The following is an 8,294-nucleotide window of genomic DNA, read 5'->3' on the forward strand; positions in this document are numbered from 1 at the left end:
AGTCCCAGCTCCTTGGGAGGCTGAGGCAGCAGGATTGCTTGAGCCTCGGATGTTGAGACTGCAGTGAGCCATGATCACACCACTGCACTCCAGCCTGGGTGACGGAGAGAGACCCTGTCTCGCAAAATAAAATAAAATAAAAGAGGCCAGACATGGTAGCTCACACCTGTAATCCCAGCACTTTGGGAAGCCCAGGCAGGTGGATCACTTGAGCCCAGGAGTTCAAGACCAGTGTGGGCAATATTGCAAGACCCTGTCTCTACAAAAAAAATTTTTTAAATTAGCCAGCCCCATGGTCTCAGCAACTTGGGAGGCTGAGGCAGGAGAATCTCTACTTGAGCCCAGGAGATCAAGGCTACAGGGAGCTGAGATTGTGGCACTTCACTCCAGCCTGGGCAACAGAGTGAGATCCTCTCTCAAAAAAAAAAAAAAATTAAAAATTAATGAATGAAAGAAAGGAAGAAAGGGGGAAAGGAAGGAGGGCAGGAAGACAGGGATGGGAGGGGAGGGGAGGAAGGAGGGAAGGAAGGAAGGAAGGAAGGAAGGAAGAAAGGAAGGAAGGAAGGAAGTTCTACTGACACGTGGGAATTTCGTAGGTGGCTCTCTATAGCATTTCATAGTATGTTCTTTCCTCTTGTTTTGAACCATTCTGTCCTAGTTGCCACCACTTGTGCAAGTATTATTACATCTTTGAGGAATCTTTAAAAAAAATAGTTGCCACAGATAATATGAAACCCAGTTTTGTGAATTACAACAGGTAATTTGTGAAAGGCTTAAATCACAGTGTTGGCAATCTGGAGTAACTATTCAGACAACCATATAATGCATTTGAGAACACAGAAATTGATATGGGGTCATGATCATCATCGATAAACGTAAATTTCAGTTTACTGTCAAGTCCACTTTAACCGTGGCCCTGCAATCAAAATGAGGTACTTCTTATAGAACAAACAAACAAACAAAAAAACCTACTTTTGAACTAAACTTGATTATCAGATATATCTTCTTAGCCACATGTAAATTGAAAATTAATCACTTTGGTTACGAAAAAATACAATTGAAAACATCATTCTATGACAAATTATACCTGATAAAGAATGTATCACCCAAAGAAAACAAAGCGGAATATGAAAAGAATTATGAAAATGGCCCTATTTTTAGTTCAAAGTAGAGTTTCCTCAGCTACACTGTCACCCAAGAGAATCCCCACAAAGCCCTGTAGAGCCAGCTCCTCCAAATTTTACGTACAGATGGAGGAAAAAAAAAAAAAAAAACCACGATTATCTATAGGAGCTTCTATACAAGGCACATATAAGTATGGTTTTTGTGGCAGGCACAAAGTTTAGTAAAACCTTGGGGCCTTAATGAAGGGTCAGGTTCCAGGGGTTAGGTTTCACTAATGGTTTTCTGAAGCATCAGCAGCTCTCAGCACCCAGTTTTATTTTACTACATAAACATGTATGCAGCATTTATTATGTTTCAGGCACTGTTCTAGGCACCATACATTCATTAAATCCTCACAATTAACTTCAGCTATGCAGGAAGTAGGTATTATCCCATTTCACTGATGATGAACTTGGGTGCCCAGACACTTCAGAAACCTGTCCAGTATCACAGAGACAGTACAAGTGGTGGAAACAGGATTCAAACCTAAGCAGCCTGGCTCCACAGTCCATGTTCTCTGCCACTGTGACATGCTGTACTTTCCCAGCAATGGCAGTAAAGCCATGCCTGGACTGAACTCTAAAATGGAGCGCCACTTTACGGTGACTAAAAGCAACTTTCGGGGCTACCTATTCTACGTGCCCTCACTGACAGACCTGTAACAATGCCATCAATAATCCCTGATCCCATACCCAATGGAACGCCAGCTACCCTCTCAGTGAGGCCAGTGCCTTGGGGACTGGTTGGCTACACTGGCTCTGTGACTTAAACCAGATCATCTGGACACCTTATTCTCTGAGCTGGGTTATCCCTGAAAAAAAATGTTCAGGTTGCATTTAACACCTCTTCTCTCTACCCAATTTTAGCTCTAGAGCTATTCTACGTAGATTTCAGTTCATTCTATAACAGCATAGAGAAAGCTATCCTGTGGACTGCTTTTTAGATGATGAACCTTCTCATTACCAGAATCTGTTCACGGGAGGACGCCAGGAGGAAGAAAGCTATATCGAGCATGGCCACGGACTAGGGACACAACATCAAACATCATGTTCAGAGCTCTCCCTTTATTTACAGAATGCAATCAGCAGCAAGATCTGTAAATTTCATCTTCAAAAAAGAGGAGTAGGACTTCACATTACAGTACTTAATATACCCTAGGATAAAAGAATCTACAAGTTCTCCAAAACTATGAATCAAAGATCAGGTGGAAACAAGGAGTGATAACAAGAGGTCCAGAAAGGACAGATACTCATCCTTTCCACATGAGCCTTGATTGCACAATTACTTAAGTTAAGTTATGCATTCTCAGAAAACCAATTAATTGTGCTGGTGCTCTCTGAAGCTCTAACACCGGCTTTGTCAACAGCTGAGTGGTTTCATAAAGGTGGAGGACAACAGTTGCAGCTCAAACAGTCCTGAAGCTCTAAGAAAAGGCGCCCTTCTAAAACTCAAACGACTTTCAGGAAAGAAGAAATGAAAATGATTTGTCACCAAAAATATTCATTTTCTGACATGGGAACAACTTTAGCTAAGTCACCAAATTTACCAGCATTTCTATAAGTGAAGCAATTCAAAGCATTCTTTATTGAACACCTAAGGTATGCTGGGTGCAAAGATCACTAAAACCAAGAATCTAAGGGCTCTCTATCCCCTGGGGACTTAGAGTGAGAGAGGGAAAGAGAATAATTCAAGAAAATTATAAAAATTCCAAGGAAGAGGTGACTCTGTTCAGGAGGAAAAGGGAAACATGAAGCCAAAATTCCTGGTTAAAATATTCACAGAAAAATAAATATGTACACCATCAATGTTTTTCTCAAGAATACGAAAGAAGGGAGCAAGGAGAAAATTCAAACCCAACATAATGCTTTAGAAAAACAAAAATAGTTTTCTTTAAAAACAAAAAACAAAAAAAAAATACCAAAAAGCACCCTTCTGGCACAGCAGGCTTCCTGTGATTGCAGAGTGAAAACTGTACCATAAAAATCCAGTCCACAAGTGCCAGAGGAAAAGAAACTTTCCCCAAATAACAAAATAAAAATAAACCTTCAGTTAAAATAATATATTACACACTGATGTAAACTGAAATGCTCTTGTCCATGGGTTGAGCTTATGAAACCCTTAAACATGAACATGTAACACTAACAAACTATTTGACATTATTATTTGGGTTCAAAGACTCCCTTTCTCTAAATGTTTATAGCACCATACCAGTTATTTCAACTGAGCTGACACAATGAATTTCAAATGATCTAATACTTTTGACTTACCAGAGGATTAGCACATGATTACCCTGAGTAAAAGGATTATTATTACTGCTGCTCTAAGATATTAACACTTTCTGTAACACACTCTAAGGGCACTGTATAGATCACTGAAAAATGTGACAAAATGCATGGGGGAAAGGGGATTTTAAAAAAGAAAGGTGGTAAGTGTTCTTCTCTTTTAAGTTTCCTTGCTTAAAATACAGTGGGCCTCCCAACGGTAGAATCAACATTTTGCATGATGCTTTCAGTGGACATACAAGTCACAGAAAAATAAGTCCAGCATTCAATGCACTCAGGAAATTAAGCCACGTATGGCCTTCTTCCCGTGAAGATCAGGCTCCAAACAAAAACCCCCACTTTGTAATAGACAACTAATTCTCATGTAATGAATGACAGAACACAGCATTAATGTACTTAACAAGACAGAGCTAAATTCAATGAAGCTTGACGCCATTGATATGAAAAAGGGCTACATTTGTAGACAGAGCCAAAGGGAGAGAAAAAATCATTCTGAATTCCGAGTTAAATAGTGCTGCTTCTGCTTTGGTTTAGCCCTCTCACTGGAAATAAAGATCAGAGCTAAAATATGACCCTTAAAACTGGCAGCAGCAAAGAAAGCTAAATACCACTGTATTAAACTCTCTTACTGACTGACAAAGAGGCAACAGCTAACGGACTTTGCTCGGAGCTTTTACTGGCAAAAGTGTTATTTCTTCATGGCTAAATTCCTGATCCATTAAAAATGTGCCCCTTCACTACCAGACTTCATGATATGCAATTCTGCCACCATCTGATATCATTATAAAAATTTCAGACAACCCAAATGATGACTTAGTAGCTACTGAAACTTCTACATACAGCATCAAAACAAAAGATATGGAAGCAAACCATGTGACACAAAATGAGTATGTAGCAAAGTTTCTTATGTAGAGCCACCATAAGAAAAGATTTGTAAAAGCCTATAAATACCATAGTGCCAACTCCCTTTTTTCAGTGTTAAGTGCAGAAAACAGATTTTAAACTACATTTTAAAATTCAGCATATGAACAATGCTGATCATTCTGAAAACAATTTATAAACTATAAGTAGATGAGTGAATATTTAAACTCCTTGAGCAGGATTACAGTAAGAACACTGATCTAAATAGCACACTTTATGCATCTGGTGATATGACTTATTTCTGTAGGATGTTCTTACACACACAGAGGTAACACCACCTGGAACTGCTATACCTTAAGGCAGGGAAACCTCGACTTTCCACTTCTCTCCTCTATCCACAATGTTATCTGGTTCCGCTGTTGTCACAGAGCCAGGGAATAAAGCTCTTCCAGAAAACTCACCCAAGATCAAATTGAGCCTGGTGACAGCAATGTCCAGGCCGTAAGTAATGTTCAAAGGATTCAACAACGCCTGTGACTGATCATTCTTTTTCCCTTGCCATCACCTGCTGATTTTGTCCAGGTGTTTTATGGCTATCTTGAGGATCTGGAGAGCAGACAGAGGGAAGACTTTGCCAATTTCTTTTGTCTGGGATTGTGAATTCCTTACACAGATGGTGGACAGCCTCAGTCCAGGGCAGCACCAGGGTATACTGCCTTCAACCTCCAAAAGGAGAAACAGAGGGAAACTTTTTCTTCTCCCACAACACTGCCTGTAATGTGTCTGTGGTTAGCAAAACTGAGACAGTATGGCTTCACAGGGAGTAAAGTGACGAAGGAAAAAAGTCTACAAGTAACTTGAAAATATTTACTTGAAGTATTACTAAGCATTTGCCAAGGAATCAAAAATGTTAATGAGAAAGATGATTCTAGAGCAATGTGCTTCTATTATAACGACTTATATAAGGTTTCAGTTACTTTTTCACTTGTATATCAAAGACACCAGGTCTCCTAAATTAACCAAAATAAGACTTTGAAAATCCAAGTCAACCCTTTAAAAGCTACTACACTGCTGTGGTGGAAAGAAAATTGGACTGGTGTCTAGACCTAAGCCATCCAATATGGTAGCCACTAGCCACATGTGGGTATTGACCACGTGAAATGTGGCTAGTCCAAGTTGAGATGTGCTGAAAGTGTAAAATACACTGAATTTTGAAGGCTCAGAATGAAAAAAGAAAAGAAAATGTCTCGATAAACACTCATATTGATTATATATTTTTTATATTTATTATACATGGAAATCATAATTTTTGATATACTGGGTCAAATGAAATACATTATTAAAATCAATTTCACCTGTTTCTTTTTACTTTTGTAGTGTGGCTACTAGAAAATTTTAAATTGCATATGTGGCTTGCAGAATTATTTCTATTGCACAGTACTGGTCTGGACACTAGGATTCTTGTCCATTTCAATCTCTTGTTGGTTGTGATGACCGTGGTCTTCTTAACCTCCTGAGCTTCATCATTTCCAAATGAGAGGGATGAAAATCAAGGAAATGGATTCTAAATTTTATAGCTCCCCAAATTATAAAATTTTATCTAGTTACTTTTCACACTTTCATTCCTAAACTCCATGATTCATTTTCATCTGCGCCCACTCTAAAAGAAGCAGTGAAGAACACCCAATAGGAAAATAGGTTTTATTCATTAGTCAATTAATTTAAGAACCTATAGCTCCCTCTGATGACTTTTAGACTAAAATTTTTCAGGATTTGTGTAATATTTTTAATGTAGACAAACTTACTAATCATGATGAATAAACCAAGATGACGTATCAAATAAAGAATATCTATGCCTTAAGTGGATGTGGATTAACAAAGCAATGAATCGAGTTGCTTGTTTTGTGAATTCAAGCTCACTATCACAGGTACACTTGATTGCAATCCATTTGGTCAGAAGGTTACCAAAGCCTCAGAGAAGGTTTTTCCACTAAATCCAAGAAAGTGTATCTGAAATTACAAGATATAATGTAGCTGATCCCTCTTGGAGGCACAATTTTTGACAGAAATAGCTGCACAGATTGCATCAGTTATACCTAACTTTCTGATAATTCACAAAACACCTCTTCACATGGTTCTTAGGTGGGTGGCCAGGCCAGGAGGAGGGTATTTTTAGAAGCCTGTTGCTCCCACAACTGGCGCTAACTGGCAGTGTTAGGTAATTACAAAGGGCTAAGGGAAACGCATGTAAAGAACAACAATTTCAGGTGACAATTTAAGTGCTTAATTATATACTAAAAAAACCTTATTATTTTTATTTCTCTACTGTTAAAAAACGATGAACAACTTTATTCTCTGGGTACCCTAATATTAATAAACCTTTGGTTTTATAGGTTATACTGAAGATTTGAATCAGTTTGCTGTCTGAATCAAAGAAAGAAAACATAAAACAGGAGGAGAAGATTAAATGCAAGTCAGAAATTCAGTATCTGTTTAATACATGTATTTTTACCAAAATGATGGTGAAACTAAGCCACACATCCTGGCTCACTGAAAGCCTTTGTTGGAATACGTTGTTGGACATGTAAGACACACATGTATCCTTGCTTTATGGACGTATTCCAGTAAACGAGACACAAAGTAGTCAGGTTAGCCACCAGAGATTGAAAGTGCGGCATACAAGACTCAGGACTTAAAAACTAGGAGAGAGAGGGCATATTGTACCAGACTGAATTATTTCCTGTCATGACGTGTTTAAAATTCTAATACAAAGGTAGCAGAAAAGAGAGATCAATAAATGACGTTATATTCTATGTATCCAAAAGGAAGAACTTTCTAAAGAAACGAAAAGACCAAAGTAAAAGGCACTAACAAGTAGATGCAAGTGAAGGAGTAGAACAGTATTGTCAAAGCTAAGGAGCCTGCAGAGAAAACCATCAGAATGGCTTAAACAACTACACTTTGTAAAGCAATTCAGTCGACTATTTAAAAATTTCAAGTTAATATGATGTGTAGCTGATTTTAAGGATCTAACTTACATGCAAGAAAAACATTAGTTTAAATTATTTGCTTTTTAAATATTCCTAATGCATAACAGATAAACACTGAAGTGAGGCTGGATTAATTCATAGTTGCTCTAATACCAGATGTATGTGGGTCATAAAGTAAATGGATCTTTCCAAAAGCCTTTGGGAAAACCCCGTGAGGCCAGTTTTGAGATCTATCAGTAGCAGGAAAGGTAAAAAGGATTCAGTAAAAAGCAAAGCAGAAGGTAGGAAATAATGTTACCTTAGAAACTGATGTATTGTGTATTTTTGTCTCCTTGTTTAATGTTTCTTAAAACAGAGAACATGATTTGCTTAAATGTCAAACTTGGAAATCATATTGATCTCAAAAGATCACTTCGTTCAATATTAAGTTTTAGCCTAGTCAAGAATTTCTTAAGATATACCAAATGTATTTTAAAATATTTTAAAGTGCTACTTCAAAACTCTAAACTACAATGTTTTTTAAAAGCCTTATTTCTTCACAGCAAGGAGCTTCCAGAAACCACTAAAACATTCTTGCCCTTTGAATGTCTGGGCATGGTCTCTTCATGTGTTATTAATAAGCTAGACGAAGTATTTATATTAATGGCCATACAATGAATATTCAACTGCATGTGGACTCATACCACAGGGCTATGAAAACCGAAAACCACCTTCACGTGGACTTGCCAAACTACCCGATTATACCAAACTTTTCATGGCTTAAACAAAGTTATATAAATGTTCACTATGGCAACAACACCAGATGTATGCACAAGGAAATATCTGCAATTTTAAAGGGGGAAACAAGAAAAACTGCTCACACAACATAAAAGTTAATTTTACATTAGTATCATTAATATTATACTCACACTGTAACAGCCAAATAAACCTTGTGCTTTAAAAACAGATCAGGTCACTTGAGTCGTCTGCTGCATTCCGCTAAGAAAGCAAAACCTAC

At 37.7% G+C, this 8,294-nt stretch overlaps 1 protein-coding gene across 37 annotated transcripts in view; it reads right to left on the reverse strand.

Annotated features, from left to right (window-relative positions):
• BNC2 (basonuclin zinc finger protein 2) overlaps window positions 1-8,294 on the reverse strand; it is a 461,168-nt gene that overhangs the window by 206,768 nt on the left and 246,106 nt on the right. The gene's annotated exons all lie outside the window — the stretch shown is intronic.

The sequence above is a fragment of the Homo sapiens genome, chromosome 9 (assembly GCF_000001405.40).
Source record: "Homo sapiens chromosome 9, GRCh38.p14 Primary Assembly".
Classification (NCBI taxonomy): domain Eukaryota; kingdom Metazoa; phylum Chordata; class Mammalia; order Primates; family Hominidae; genus Homo; species Homo sapiens.